At 36.3% G+C, this 16,817-nt stretch overlaps 1 long non-coding RNA gene across 1 annotated transcript in view; it reads left to right on the top strand.

Annotated features, from left to right (window-relative positions):
• The window catches only part of LOC105370463 (uncharacterized), a 117,571-nt gene that overhangs the window by 54,426 nt on the left and 46,328 nt on the right, over positions 1-16,817 (top strand). The window contains exon 4 of the long non-coding RNA XR_943786.3: positions 7,202-7,336. This is a non-coding gene — a long non-coding RNA (uncharacterized LOC105370463). The remainder of the gene's footprint in view (positions 1-7,201; positions 7,337-16,817) is intronic.

Here is a 16,817-nt window from a genome sequence, read left to right as displayed (position 1 = left end):
ATTGTTGGAGACCTACAAAGAGATTTAGATAACCACACAATGATATGAGAACGGGGCAGGAAGTGCTAAGTAGAGAAGGGCGGGGTCCCTGGCAAGGGCTCAACCCTCAGGCCTGTGCCCACGGACCTAAATGAAGACAAGCATTTCTTTTTTCATACCCAAAAAGTTGCCTTTGGTCCACCACACCCTGCATCCTGTGTTCATAAAACCCAGGACTGTAGCAGGCACACACACAAGTGGCCGGAAGTTGAGAGGAGCAGAAGAACACACCAGCAGACACCAGGAGACCTGCAATGGTGGAACAATGCAGACACCAAGGGGAATTTAGCCGTGGGCAGTCAGAGGAGAGTCCGACCGCCAGGTGGCCCGACTTTAGGGGAAGACCACCCTCCCACTCCATCCCCCTTCTGATTCCCAATCCATCTCACTGAGAGCTACCTCAACTACTCAATAAAACCTTGCACTCTTCCTCCAAGCCCACATATGATCCGATTTTTTGAGTACACTAGGGCAAGAAGCCGGGATACAGAAAGCTCTCTGTCTTTGCATTAAGGCAGAGGGTCTAATTGAGCTGATTAATGCAAGCAGCCTGCAGACTGCAAAGCTGAAAGAGCATACTAACACATGCCCACTTAGGCTTCAGGAGCTGTAAACACTCACCCCAGATGCTATCGTGTGGTCAGAGCCCAAAAATGCTCCCCACGACCACTGCACTGCCTAGAAGTTTAAGTAGTGAGGCACAGAAGAAGCGAGCCCACACTCCTGTCACACACCCTGCGAGGGTGATAAGGAAAATTCTCCTGTTTCAATAATAGTGGGGTCTTCAACACCCAACTGCCAGCATAAGATCACTGATGCAGAAAACTAACAAAAATATTCAGGACCTAAACTTGATACTTGACCAAATGAACCTGACATATACAGAATACTCCCCCCAACAACAACAGAATATACGTTCTTCACATCTGCACACTGCATATACTCTAATAAATGACACATTTGACCATAAGGCAATTCTTAATGAACTGAAAAAAAAATCCAAATCATATCAACCACATTTTCAGACCACAACACAATAAAAACAAATCAATACCAGGAATATCTCTCAAAACCATACAATTACATGAAAATTAAACAACTTTCTCCTCAGTGACTTTTGGATAAAGAAGGAAATTAAGGCAAACAAAATCATTGAAATTAATGAAAAATAAAGGTAGAATATAAGAGAACCTCTGACACACAGCTTAAGCACTGAAAAGAGGAAGTTTATTGGGCTAAAACCCTACATGAGGAAGTTAGAAAGATCTCAAACAACCTAACATCACATGTAAAGGAACTAGAAAAACAAGAGCAAGTCAACCCCAAAGCTACTAGAAGTGAAATAACCAAAATCAGAGCTGAACTGAACAAAATTGAGATGGAAAAATTCATACAAATGATCCACAAAACTCAAAGTTTGTTTTTTGAAAGAATAAATAAGATTGGTAGGCTACTACCTAATTAATAAAGAAAAAGAGAGAGAAGATTCAAATAAACACAATCAGAAATGACAAAGGGGACATTGCCACTGACCTCACAGGAATACAAAAAAGCCTCAGAGTCTATTACATACACCTCTATGCATACAAACTGGAAAATATAGAAAAAAATGGATAAATTTCTGGAAACATAAAACCCCTGATGATTGAACCAGGAAGAAATTGAATTCATGAACAGACCAATAATAAGTTCCAAAACTAAATCAGTAATTAAAAGCCTACCAACCAGAAAAAGCCCTGGTCCAGATGGATTCACAGCTGAATTCAACCACACAATAAAGAACTGCTACCAATCATGCTAAAATTATTCCAAAGACTTGAGGAGGAGGGACTCCTAACTCATTCCATAAGGCCAGCATTATTCTGACGTCAAAACCTGGCAGAGACACAAGAAAAGAAAAAAAGAAAAAGAAAAGTTTAGGCCAAGATCACTAATGATATATGCAAAAATCCTCAACAAAATACTAGCAAATCTAATCTAGTAACACATTAAAAAGCTAATCCACCATGATCAAGTAGTCTTTATTACTGACATGCAAAGTTAATTCAACATATGGAAATTAATAAATGTGATTCATCACATAAACAAAACTAAAAACAAATGCCATGTGATCATCTCAATAGACACAGAAAAGGGTTTTGATAAAATTCAGCATTCCTTCATATTAAAAACCCTGCACAAACTAGGTGTCAAAGGAACATACCTCAAAATAATAAGAGCCATCTATGACAAAACCACAGCTCATGGGTAGGAAGAATCAATATCGTGAAAATGGCCATACTGCCCATGATAACTTATAGATTCAATGCCATCCCCATCAAGCTACCAATGACTTTCTTCACAGAATTGGAAAAAAACTACTTTAAAGTTCATATAGAACCAAAAAAGAGCCCTCATTGCCAACTCAATCCTAAGCCAAAAGAACAAAGCTGGAGGCATCACACTACCTGACTTCAAACTACACTACAAGGCTACAGTAACCAAAACAGCATGGTACCGGTACCAAAACAGAGATATAGACCAATGGAACGGAACAGAGCCCTCAGAAATAATGCCACATATCTACAACCATCTGATCTTTGACAAACCTGACAAAAACAAGAAATGGGGAAAGGATTCCCTGTTTAATAAATGGTGCTGGGAAAACTGGCCAGCCACATGTAGAAAGCTGAAACTGGATCCCTTCCTTACACCTTATATAAAAATTAACTTAAGATGGATTAAAGACTTAAATGTTAGACCTAAAACCATAAAAACCCTAGAAGAAATCCTAGGCAATACCATTCAGGACATAGGCATGGGCAAGGACTTCATGTCTAAAACACCGAAAGCAATGGCAACAAAAGCCAAAATTGACAAATGGGATCTAATTAAACTAAAGAGCTTCTGCACAGCAAAAGAAACTACAATCAGAGTGAACAGGCAACCTACAGAATGGGAGAAAATTTTTGCAATCTACTCATTTGACAAAGGGCTAATATCCAGAATTTACAAAGAACACAAACAAATTTACAAGAAAAAAACAAACAACCCCATCAAAAAGTGGGTGAAGGACATGAACACACACTTCTCAAAAGAAGACACATGAAAAAATTTATGCAGCCAAAAGACACGTGAAAAAATGCTCATCATCACTGGCCATCAGAGAAACGCAAATCAAAACCACAATGAGATACCATCTCACACCAGTTAGAATGGCGATCATTAAAAAGTCAGGAAACAACAGGTGCTGGAGAGGATGTGGAGAAATAGGAACACTTTTACACTGTTGGTGGGACTGTAAACTAGTTCAACCATTGTGGAAGTCAGTGTGGCAATTCCTCAGGGATCTAGAACTAGAAATACCATTTGACCCAGCAATCCCATTACTGGGTATATACCCAAAGGATTATAAATCATGCTGCTATAAAGACACATGCACACGTATGTTTATTTCGGCACTATTTACAATAGCAAAGACTTGGACCCAAGCCAAATGTCCAAGAGTGATAGACTGGATTAAGAAAATGTGGCACATATACACCATGGAATACTATGCAGCCATAAAAAATGATGAGTTCATGTCCTTTTTAGGGACATGGATGAAGCTGGAAACCATTATTCTCAGCAAACTATCGCAAGGACAAAAAACCAAACACTGCATGTTCTCACTCATAGGTGGGAATTGAACAATGAGAACACATGGACACAGGAAGGGGAACATCACACACTGGGGCCTGTTGTGGGGTGGGGGAAGGGGGAGAGATAGCATTAGGAGATATACCTAATATTAAATGACGAGTTAATGGTGCAGTACACCAACATGGCACATGTATACATATGTAACTAACCTTCACGTTGTGCACATGTACCCTAAACACAGCCAAATGAATGGGCAATAACTGGAAGCATTCCCCTTGACAACCAGAACAAGACAAGAATGCCCACTCTCACTAATCCTATGCAGAAGTCCTGGAAGTCCTAGCCAGAGCAATCAGGCAAGAAGTCCTAACCAGAGCAATCAGGCAAGAGAAAGAAATAAAAGGCATTCTAATAGGAAGAGAGGAAGTCAAACTCACTCTCTTCACAGACAATATGATTCTATACCTAGAAAACCCCATTGTCTGTAACCAAAGGCTCCTAGAATTGATAAACAACTTTAGTAAAGTTTCAGAATTCAAAATCAATGCCCCCTAAATCAGTAGCATTTATATACACCAATAACATCCAAGCTGAGAGCAAAATTAGGCACTCAATTCCATTCACAGTCGCCACAAAAAGAATAAATATCTAGGAATACACCCAACCAGGAAGATGAAAATTTTCTACAATGAGAATTACAAAACACTGCTGAAAGAAATCAGAGATGACACAAACAAATGGAAAAGTATTCCATGCTCATGGATAGGAAGAAACAATATTGTTAAAATAGACATATTGCCCAAAGCAATTTATAGATTCAATTCTATTTCTATCAAACTGACAAAGACATTCTTTACAGAACTTGGAAAAACTTTTTAACCCTTTTCTCATTTAGAAAAAAAAAGTGCAGCTCGTTGCCATTGCTCATTTAATTTTACATAAACAAGCTCTTTGAGGCTGAAGCAAATCTAATTTTCAAGGTAAAAATAAAATATGAAAACTGTTCTTAGAGTTATTTCTAAACAGAACTAACAGCAGAATCTGAATCATCAGAATCGTCTACTTTGGAAAAATTGGATGCATCAAGTGACTCTTCGGCCAACAACTGTTTGAGAATGATGTTAACATCAAGCATAGGAATGCTACATTTTCTAGGGTTTGACATTTTCAGTGATCAAGAATTACTATATTTTGTAAATGAAAATACCACTACTAAAAACTGAATGCTGTAAGTAGAATGATGTCTTTTGTTTCCAAAGTCTATATACTAGTGTAATGCAAAAATAATTTTAAAAATGAGATATTTTGTGGCAAAGTTATCTGAGGGTAAATGTTTCAGCTGCCAGCACTGGCAGCAAGTATTCTTGGGGCAAATGGGAAAAGAGTTAAAATTCACATGGAACTAAAAAAAAGAGCCTAAATAGTCAATGCAATCCTAAGTAAAAAGAACAAACCTGGAGGCATCATTCTACCTGACTTCAAACTATGCTACAGGGCTCCAGTGGCCAAAACAGCATAGTACTGGTACAAAAACAGAAACATAGACCAGTGAAATGGAATGGAGATCCTAGAAATAAAGCAGCACACCTACAACTGTCTGATTTTAAACAAGACTGACAAAAACATGCAATGGGGAAATGACTCCCTATTCAATAAATGGTGCTGGAATAATGGGCTGACCCTGTGCAGAAGATTAAAACTAGACCCCTTCATGTTATTGTATACAAAAATAAACTCAGGAAGGACTAAAAACTTAAATTTAAGACCTCTAACTATAAAAATCCTAGAAGAAAACCTAGGGAAAACCATTCTAGACATAGGCCTTGGCAAAGATTTCATGATGAAGTCTCTAAAAGCAATTGCAACAAAAATAAAAATAGACAAGTAGACCTACTTAAACTAAAGATCTTCTGCACAGCAAAAGAAACCATTAACAGAGTAAACAGACAATGCACAGAATGGGAAAAAGTATTTGCAAACTATGCATCCAACAAAGGTCTAATATCCAGAATCTATAAGGAACTTATGCAAATCAATAAGCAAAAAATAAACAATAAAAAGTGGGTAAAGGACACGAACAGACACTTTTCAAAAAAAGATATACATTCAGCCAACAAGCATATGAAAAAAATGCTCAACATAACTAATTATTACAGAATAGCAATTCAAAACCATAATGAGAAACTATCTCACACCATTCAGAATGGTTATTATGAAAAAGTCAGAAAATGGCAGATGTTGGCAAGATTGCAGATAAAAGGGAACTCTTATACCCTGCTGGTGGGAATTTAAATTAGTTTGGCCACTGTGGAAAGCAGGTTGGAGATTTCTCAGAGAACTTAAAACAGGACTACCCTTCAACCTAGTAATCCCATTACTGGGTATATACTCAAAGGAGTATAAATTGATTTATCAAAAAGATACAGGCACTTGTATGTTCACCACAGCAATATATACAACAGCAAAGACATAGAATCAACCCAGATGCCAATCAGTGTTGGACTGAATAAAGAAAATGTATGTATACACCATGGAATACTATGCAGCCATATAAAAGCAGAGCCTTGAAGGACCACAAGAAAACTGTTCAGGGGGTGAAAATGACAGTGGGGAAATCGCTATAGGATAATAAGAAAAAGATGACTAATGTTATATACTGGTGGGAAGGTTAGTAAAATTGTTATTTGTAGTAACATTGAAAAAATAATATGTACTTAATAAATTGAAAGTTCTAATGAAATACATTTTCAGGTACTTGATTTGTTTTAGCTTCATATGATAATTTATAAAGAGAGTTAAAGAAGGGACTATTCTGATTTTGAGCAGAATTTAGAGAAAATATGAAATAGAAGTTTCTCATCCCCAGTGATTCCAAACAGCAAAAAGTTCTCAAAATAACAGATGAACTCAGATTCATCAAATGTTGGGGGATGGCAGTACTATGTGGCTCCAGGTTAAAATTACCATCAAGGATATGGATTTTAGATTATTTGTAGAGACTTCAAATATTTAAGGTGGTGCCTAACACTGAACTAGAAAAAATGTTTCTAAGAACCTTAAGGATATTGTCCCACACAGGATTATAGCCAGGTCAAGTAGACAGGAGGTTGGTTTGAGAAAAATGTAGATGTGTATTCTGCCTAATGGAATTACTTCTACTTTGGTATATAAGAAACCCACAGAGTTTTAAAAGGAATTATATCAACTTAGGCTGAATAGGACAGAGATGTTCATTATAAAAAGAGGTCTCTAGGCCCTCATGTTTTCACTGCCAACATGGGCTATTTCATATGGAAAAAGAGTAACTCAACGGACAAAGTCAAGATAGCTTGGGCACTGCTGCTAGGAAGCAAGAGGTTCCAATCAAGTAAGTGGTGACATGTGCATGCTGGATTCCAGAATTGCTGTGGATTAGTGACTATCAGCCTCCTCTTCCATGCTCCTTTTTGAACAGGAGGGTATACTGTAGATATCTTATGTGTTTAAAAAACATTATGTGTTGAGTCTATAAGGGTTAAATAGCATATCTTGTTTTACATAGTTCTTTAGATCAAGAGGAACTACTTGAAGAGCAGCACTCAACAAATCTGCACATCGACCTGGTTTAAATGCTAAGATCCTGCCCTTGTAGATTCGATGCCATAATGATGAGACTTTCACAAGGTCAAGGGAGAAGGTGAGTATATTTTATTTAAGAGAGGGATGTAAATTGCCCTGGTAAGGGAGTATGCTATACCTTATTGCATTTTCCAAAAATAACCACAATAATATTTCCCATCCCACATGCTTTTCTACAATGTGGTCTTCCCACCCTACCAAAAAGGCAGAGTCTATTTCTCCACACCTTTGAATGTGGCCAAGACTCATAACTGCCTTGGCTAATAGAATATGGCCAAAGAGATACTGTGTCAGTTCTAACAAATCTCAATTTATCTGCTGTCTCCTACTTCTTTTTGTTAAAATATTCTTCAGACATTCTCCTTTGGAACTCAGCTGCCTGCTGAGAAGTCCTAGCTACACAAAGAGGCCATGTGTTGGCCACATGGAGCATCTGACTTCCAGCCAATAGCCAGCATCAAATGTAAACCATCTGAGTGAGCCATCTTGGACATTTAGCCTGGTCAAGCGGTAGACTCAGCCCCAGCTAATTTCTGACTGCCACCATATGAGATACTCCAAAAGAGAACCACCTAGCTGAGTGCAGTCAACCAACAAAACTGTGAAAGATGATAACTATTAATGTGTTTTAAGTTAGTAAATTATGAGGTAGTTTGTCACACAAAATAAATAGAAGACTGAATTACAATAAGAAGAGAGAGATTGAGAATGGTATTGAATTTTTAAGCCCTTTGATAGCTCTTCCAATTGGGAATAAAATTCAGTGTCCCATCAGTTATAATATTGATATTCAATAATTCTTTACTATGTGTCAGTCTATGTTCCAATTGCTTGCATGAATTATCCTATTTATTCTACAGAGCAACCCATAAAGTATTATCATTATGTTGTTTTTGTTATTCCTCTCTCACAGACAAGTAAACTGAGGCCTAGTAAATTTAAATATCATACCCAAAGTTGAACACCTCTTAACTAGCATCAGATCAAGGATACATATTCAGGTTTGTCTGATACCAAAGCGTATGCTTTTTACTACTATATAACGTGATCTATGACTAGAAAGATCATCATGATTCTCCTCTAAGCAGTAATCTTTTTTATACTTGGGAAAATAAGGCAAAACAGATTATTAAGTAACCCCTAGAAACAAACACTAAGTCTGGTGAGTTTTCTTCCTTTCATGTTCCTAAAGTCAAAGATTTGTGTTTGCCATATTGGAAGTGATGCCAAACTTCCGGTTAAGAAACCCAGCTTTTTGAAACAAAAAAGAAGCTAGGTGGGTGACAGGTAGTCCCAGCAGGTATCCTTTCTTTAGGGTCTCCTCTGTTTCTAGTGAGTCCCATTTACGAGGGCCAGCTTCTGTGACACAAATATAATGAGACTATGTTCAAACCTCTTTCCTGAAGCTACTAAAATATGCATCAGCCCTGCTGTATCAAGAAAGAATCACATGGTGGAGGTTAAACTTTCTGTCTTTATTCTCACATGTACCTTTGGCCCACACACTAAATATCTGCAGTGTGATTATCTATAGCTTCTCAGGAATTCAACTGTCATAGAAGTAAAGGGCAATCAAGCTCAGTAGAGTGCAAATAGGTCAATATTGGGCTTCCCAATCTATGCTATCATATCACATTATCTCCATATCTGTGGCCTCCAAATAGGTGTAACAGCATCTTATTTTGTTTTCACAGTGTTAGTAAGGTGAGTTGTGAGTTATATTTATGTAGTTAATTTAGCAAAAGTCTTTGATATCTGTGGCTTATGGGTAGGATTCAATTATCTTCCAGTCTTATACAAATTTCTCCTAATTTTATACTACTTTGCCTATTAAAACATTGTTACATATAACACTTTGAACAAGCTTATGAGTTGGTATTAATATCCAGCTTTTAACTGAATACACTGAAATTCACTCTGGTTGAGTAAGATGTTCCAGGTTAAATGGTTGAGAAGTGGCAAAGTGAGAGTGTGTACCCTGCATGTTTGGCTCCTTGGCACATGTTCTAGTCCGATATAACAGGGGTCCCAAACCCCTGGGTCAAGGACCGGTACCGATCCATGGCCTATTAGGAACCATACCACACAGCAGGAGGTGAGTGGAAGGTGAGCTAGCATTACCTCCTGAACTCCACCTCCTGTCAGATAAGCAGTGTCATTAGATTCTCATAGGAATGCAAACCCTATTGTGAACTGTGCATGTGAGGGATCTAGGTTGCATGCTCCTTGTGAGATTCTAATGCCTGATTATCTGAGGTGGAACAATTTCATCCCAAAACCATTCCCCTGACTCCCAGTCTGTGGAAAAATGTTTTCCACAAAACTAGTCCCTGATGCCAAAAATGTTGGGGACTACTGCTATCTAAGATACTACCTACCTATCACACTTGTGTTTGGAAAAAGAAGAGTGTTCGTTATAGAAAAACAGCTGTTATTGTAGACAAAGGTATTGAGTTTAAAAATCTGCTGGTGACCCACAGATTTTTGGACCTGAGTGTGTTTGAGACTCAATTTAACATCTGTAATACCAGCAAATTATCATGATGAATGCAAGACTTTGATAGACAACAATATCTGAAGGTCAGGATATCCAAAAAAAACAATAATTTCCTATGTAAATCTGTTTTTCCTCCCATTTTTGTACAAGGATAATCCCTGGTATCCAAGTTGGAAGTCAATCTTTGACTCTTTTTTTCTTCTCAGTTTCATTTTTATTTTTAACCAGGTACCAAATATTATTAATTCTCTAACCTGTCTGTTACAGTATTCCAGTTTTAAAATTTACATTTCCAATAAGTATTTTTCTGGTGCATAGACAACTGTAATTTCCTCTTTATTGCTCTCATGCCAGAATTGCTTTCAAAATAATGTTTTAAAATCTGAAGCCATGCCTCAATAAACTGGCCATATCCAAGTTTCATTTCCAAATTCTAGTGACCATGCCTCCTCCATTGAAACAAAAGTGAGCTATTCTTTATTATGGAGAACAGTTTTTTTGGTTTTTTTTTTTTACATTTTCATTCTCTATGCTATTGCTCACAGACTCTAAATGCTTTCCTTTATCCCCAATTACATGAAACTTTGAAGTCAGGACTCAAATGCCACTTCTTCATATAAGGTATTAACAATAAGTTCAGAAAGCAATAACCCCTCTTCCATATCTCTGTACCTCATGAAAGTGCTACTAAACTCTGTCTTAAATTAAAATGATTTGAATGTAAGCTTTGAATGAGTATGAACCCATATATAACATGGAATTATTATTTCTCAAAGTCCTTACATATTGTGTGGAGTCAAATTTGTGGATATGTCTTTATCATTTTTAATCTCTCATATATTTTTATTTTGAAACTATTTTTGAAAGTCCTCTACAGTCTTCTTATTCTGCAAAGATTCACTTTCAAGACTGCAAATATGAATATTGGGATTCATCGAGGAATTTCCAGTGAAGCTCGGGAAACAAATTAAGATGTGGCTTTGAGAAATAACACCAGTCAAACATAATTCTAGGGCTGGGCAAACAAGACTCTTCTTGTTTCTTCAGGGAGACTCTCATTGTCAAGCTTGAAAATAATGAAGGGTTGGTCTTGGTGAAAAGAAGCTTATGCATCTGAGTTCTTAGATGGAAACAAGCAATATGTATGCATCAACTTAGTCATAATATTCTAGTTTACCACCACACATAAAACTTATTGTGCCTTTTCCCTTTGGTGTTTTTTTTTTTTTCTTCCATGTGAACAGTCTTTTCTGAAGCATATATACAACTCAGGCCATAAATTAAGGCACATGTGCTTCTCTATAAAAATTCTGTGGCATTAAAACTGAGACAATCCAAAAATTGTAAACTTTCTGTCAAAGTAAAAAATAGCTAGAGGTTTCACCTTTGGTTGATTTAGTATTTCACTATTTAATAATTAATTGTTATTTTAAAATGGTAATTAAATTTTCACTAGGATTTTTTTCTTAAGGTTATTGCATTTGATGTCATTTTATGAACAAATTAGTAATTTAGGCTAAAGAAACCTAGCTGTTTTGGGTTCTGAATTATACTGGAAACATCATTCATAGTATGTAATACACTGACATAAGTGAATTGAATTTTAAACTAGGATCATTTTAAAAATTATATTTGAATTACCATATCTCTAAACTAAATTCATAGGAAAATGAAACTGAAATGTAGATAAGGTAATATATAACAGCAGGAAAAATACTGCCTTATAATACAATTATTCCACATCTTTATGATTATTTCATTTTTAGAAATATATTGTGTGCATTGGATTATGTATACTATCTATATGGATAAATTTTCAAATCATGAATAAAGCTTAAGACATTTGTTACAATATTAAACATCAACATTTTGGGATGCTACTATAATTCTATTGGTTTGTGTTTGATTCTAGCACTATTTTTGGCTTCCATTTACTTGTGAAATCTTTAGAATCAGCACCGCTAATTCATTCTGGTCAGTTTCCAGCTTTCACAGTAGCAGCATGAATAGAATTTGCTACAGATTCAGTTATGGTGTCACAATGATTTATTTTCCTTTTTAACATAAAATTTATTTTTTAATGTAAGCAAAACCTTTAAAATGAGAAGAAAATAAGCTGTCTTTTCTTTGTGGTCAATGCCAGAATATTAGCTGAACATCTAGATGCTGTCTTCAAAGTAGCAGAGCCAGTAAACTTCAAAACACCTCTGATGATTTAGATTACTAGCATTTCAAACCAAAGTCACTTAGATTTTACATGCAATAGCGATAATAACACTTCAGCAAAATCAGCAATAGGGAAGTCTTCAAATATTTAATAAATTTGTGTTCATAAATGACAGTTAATTGTTATAGCACATACCAAAAAAGTGTGTTTAAAGCACAAAACCAAACATGTTTTTGCATACATATTTATAATATTTGTGGAAGACTTTAAAACATTCAGTAGATACCCTTGAACATTTTCACCTAAAGTTCAATTTAAGATTCCATTCAAATGTTAGCAGATGCATGCCCCAAATTATCTGCTGCAAAAATTAAATTGCTACAGCATATTCAGTACTGCTTAGATATTCTAGAACTAAAACTGATTGAGATAGAAATGCTTACACATTTAAACTACAATAAAAATCATTAAAATGAAGCATGGTAGACTTTCAGTTTCAAAATATAAAGAACTTGGAAGTAGTCATTCTCATCCTTACAAAAACAACAGAAAACCTGGACAAATTGAAATTCAGTGACATTTCTTGGACCCATTAAAGAACTGAGGTCTCAGAGCAAATCATCACCCTGAAATCTGGAAAGGTGAATAAAGGGAATCACAGATGAAATCTGTTTATCTGGAGCAGAAACTGCTGGAGCTACAAGCTGTTAAGAACACTTAAATGATAATTTTGATTAATTTCTGGATACTGAGTGTGCACTAGCATGAGATAAAGACTTTCTGGGGGCCTCAAGATTAGGAGGGCAACATTTTCATAGTTTGCACTCCAAGAACCATCAAGTTCTTACAGAGGATCCAAGAAAAATCCTCAGTACCCTTGGAAGCAGGAGAGGAGCGTAACTTTGTAAAACATGTTTAGAATGTTCTCCATAACTAAGGTCTGCTGTCCTTGAAGTAATTGTCAGAGCACAATTTTAAAATCTTGCCTCAACCAGGAAAAGGATTCCTACCAATTATGGTGCCCTCTAGCCTATTATCTTACCTAAGGGGAAAAATTAGTCAACATGGTTGAGCATTTCAAAGAAACACACTGGGAACATTGATTGCATCTAGGATATGAGTAAAGGTGAAGGACAGGAACACTTGTGAAGGCTACAGCCCAGACACCTGGGCCTACCAAACGACTAAAACTTAATTGGATTTTGGAATGTCACCCCCTCTCACTGTTACTCTCTCACTGCATTAAGATTGTTTCAGTAGATTATAGCTGAAAGAGCTGCAAGATGTAAATGTTCGTTCGGTAGCAGTATACAAAGAAGTCCTAAAGTCAAGGGGAGATAAAAACAAGGACACTAGAGGACGCTGAAGCCTTGGGCACCTACAGCTACAACAAGCATTGAACACAACCCAACTCCTAGCCAGATTAACATAAATCTTCCCACCAAAGGCCCATTTACTTCAGTTGCTATTATTCATCATAGCCTGTCTGGCTTACAACCAAAAATTAAAATATATAACAAAAGGCAAAAAAAAAAAAAGTCTGAAAAAAGCAAACAGACATGACAACCAGAATCATATATGACACAAATACGTGAATTATCAGATAGATGATTTTAAATAATAATATGCTAAAAGCTGTAATGAAAAAGTAGAAAACATATAATAAAAAGATGGGTCATATCAGTAGAGAGGTGAGAAATTTAAGAGGAATCAAGAGTAAATGTTATAAATGAGAAAAGTAACACTGTCACAGAGATGAAGAATGCCTTTTGATGGCTCATCAGTAGATGACACAGATGAGGAATCAATGAGCTTGAAGATAGGTCAATAAAAACTTCCCAAATCAGCAAGAGTGAACCCTAATATGAACTATGAATTTTGGATGATAATGACGTGTCAATGTAGGTTCATCGGTCATAACAAATGTTCCACTCTGATGGAATGTTCATAGAAGTGAAGGTTGTACTCATGTGGGGGCAAGGGACATATGGGGACCCTGTGATTTCTTCCAAATTTTGCTGTAACTCTAAATAAGCTCCAAAAATGAAGTCAATTTAAAAAAAAATCAAAAACTTCCCAAACTCAAGTGCAAAGAGAATGAAATAAAAAAAATGTGGGACAATTTAAAAAGTTGTAATGCATCAATAATTGGGATAATACAAGGAAAAAAAAGAAAGAATGAGGTAGAAAAAATATTTTAAAAAATAATGGGTAAGCATCTGTTAAAATTAATGGCAGTAACCGAAACATAGATCATGGAAGCTCAGAGAACACTTAGCATGATACACAAAAAAAACAAACAAACAGAAAAATCACCTCAGCATATCATATTTAAACTTCAGAACACCAAAAACAAAGAGAAAATTATGAAGGAAGCAAGAGATAAACAAGGAGCAAGGATTACGGTAGTCTTCTCATCAGAAACCTGCAAGAAAAAAGAGACTTGGGCAAAAGGACTGGAATGAAAACAAAAACAAAAACACAAAACAAAACAAAACAAAACAAAAAACTTTGCTATCCTGGAATTCTATATTAAATGAAATCACCTTTCATAAGTAAAAAAAATAAAAGAAATAAAGACTTGCTCAAACTAACAAAAAAACTCAGGACATTCATTGTCAGCTTACCTGCTCTGCATGAAATTTAGATCTTCAGGCAGAAGAAAAATAATATAGGTTAAAACTTCAATCTACATAAAGAAAAGAAGACCATTATAGAAGGAATAAATGAAGGTAAAATATTTTACTTTCCATATTCTTAACTGAAATTTTTAAAAAGCTTGTTTAAAGTAATAAAAATACATTAATACTAGAAAAAGTGTATTGGGTAGTTATAGTATACAGGTTAGTGAAATGAATGACAGTAATTGATATGGACTGAATTGTGTCCTCCCAAAATTCATATGCTAAAGCCTCAGCCTGCAATGTGACTATATTTGGAGATAGAATATGTAAGGACGAAATTAAGTTTAAATAAGTTCATAAGGATGAGGTCCTCATTATAGGATTAGAGTACTTATAAGGAGAGACAACAGAGAGCTCAGTCTCTCTAAGGCTAAGAACCTTCAAGGAGTCCACTACACCCCCCTGCCACATCCACCAGAACAGGTGCTGGTATCCATGGTTGAAAGACCCACAGATATTTCACATCATAGGACTCTGTGCAGACAACCCCCAGTGGCAGCCCCAAGCTGGGTAGACTTTCTGGGTTGCTAGACCCAGAAGAAAGAAAACAATCACTGCAGTTTAGCTCATAGGAAGCCACATCCATAGGAAAAGGGGAAGAGTACTACATCAAGGAAACACGATGTGTGACAAAAGAATCTAAACAACAGCCTTCAGCCCTAGACCTTCCCTCTGACAGAGGCTACCCAAATGGGAAGGAACCAGAAAACCAACCCTGGTAATATGACAAAACAAGGCTTGTCAACATCCCCCAAAAATCACACGAGTTCACCAACAATGGATCCAAACCAAGAAGAAATTCTTGATTACCTGAAAAAAGAATTCAGGAGGTTAGTTATTAAGCTAATCAGGGAGGCACCAGAGGAAGGCAAAGCCCAATGCAAGGAAGTCCAAAAACTGATACAAAAAGTGCAAGGAGAAATTATCGACGAAATAGATACCATAAATAAGAAACAACCAAAACTTCAGGAAACAATGGACACACTTACAAAAATGCAAAATGCTCAGGAAAGTCTCAGCAATAGAATTGAACAAGTAGAAGAAAAAAATTAAGAGCTCGAAGACAATGTCTTCAAATTAACCCAATCCAAGAAAAATTAAAAAAATTTACTAAGAAAATATGACCAAAGCCTCCAAGAAGTCTGGGATTATGTTAAATGGCCAAACCTAAGAATATTCACTGTTCCTAAGGAAGAAGAGCATTCTAAAAGCTTGGAAAATATATTTGGGAGTATAATGGAGGAAAACTTCCCCAGCCTTGCTAGAGACTTAGACAGCCAAATACAAGAAGCACAAAGAACACCTGGGAAATTCATCACAAAAAGATCATCCCCTAGACACATTGTCATCAGGTTATCCAAAGTTAAGACAAAGGAAAGAATCTTAAGAGTTGTGAGACAGAAGCGCAAGGTAACCTATAAAGGAAAAATCTATCAGATTAACAACAGATTTCTCAGTAGAAACCCTATGAGCTAGAGGGGATTGGGGCTCTATCTTCAGCCTCCTCAAACAAAGCAAATATCAGCCAAGAATTTTGTATCTAGTGAAACTAAGCATCATATAAGATACAGTCTTTTTCAGACAAACAAACGCTGAGAGAATTTGCCACTACCAAGCCACCATTACAAGAACTGCTAAAAAGAGCTCTAAATATTGAAACAAATCCTAGAAACACATCAAAACAGAACATCTTCAAAGCATAAATAACACAGGACCTATAAAACAAAAATACGAGTTAAAAAGCAATAATGAAAAACAAATAAGCCAAAGTACACAGGTAACAGATAGCACGATGAATGCAATGGCACCTCACATCTCAATACTAACATTGAGTGTAAATGGCCTAAATGATCCACTTACATGTTACAGAACCACAAAATGAATAAGGACTCACCAACCAACTATCTTCTGCATTCAGGAGACTCACCTAACACGTAAAGACTCACAGAAACCTAAAGTTAGGGGGTGGAAAAAGGCGTTTCATGCAAATGGACACAGAAAGTGAGCAGGGGTAGCTATTCTTATATCAGAGAAAACAAACTTTAAAGCAACAGTGGTTAAACGAGACACAGAGGGACATTATTACATAATGTTAAAAAGCCCTGTCCAACAGGAAAATATCACAATCCTAAATATAAATGCACCTAACAATGGAGCTCCCACATTTTTAAAGCAATTACTAATAGACCTA

This window comes from Homo sapiens, chromosome 14 (assembly GCF_000001405.40).
Source record: "Homo sapiens chromosome 14, GRCh38.p14 Primary Assembly".
In the NCBI taxonomy this organism is placed as follows: Eukaryota; Metazoa; Chordata; class Mammalia; order Primates; family Hominidae; genus Homo; species Homo sapiens.
This window is presented reverse-complemented; position numbering and strand designations above follow the sequence as displayed.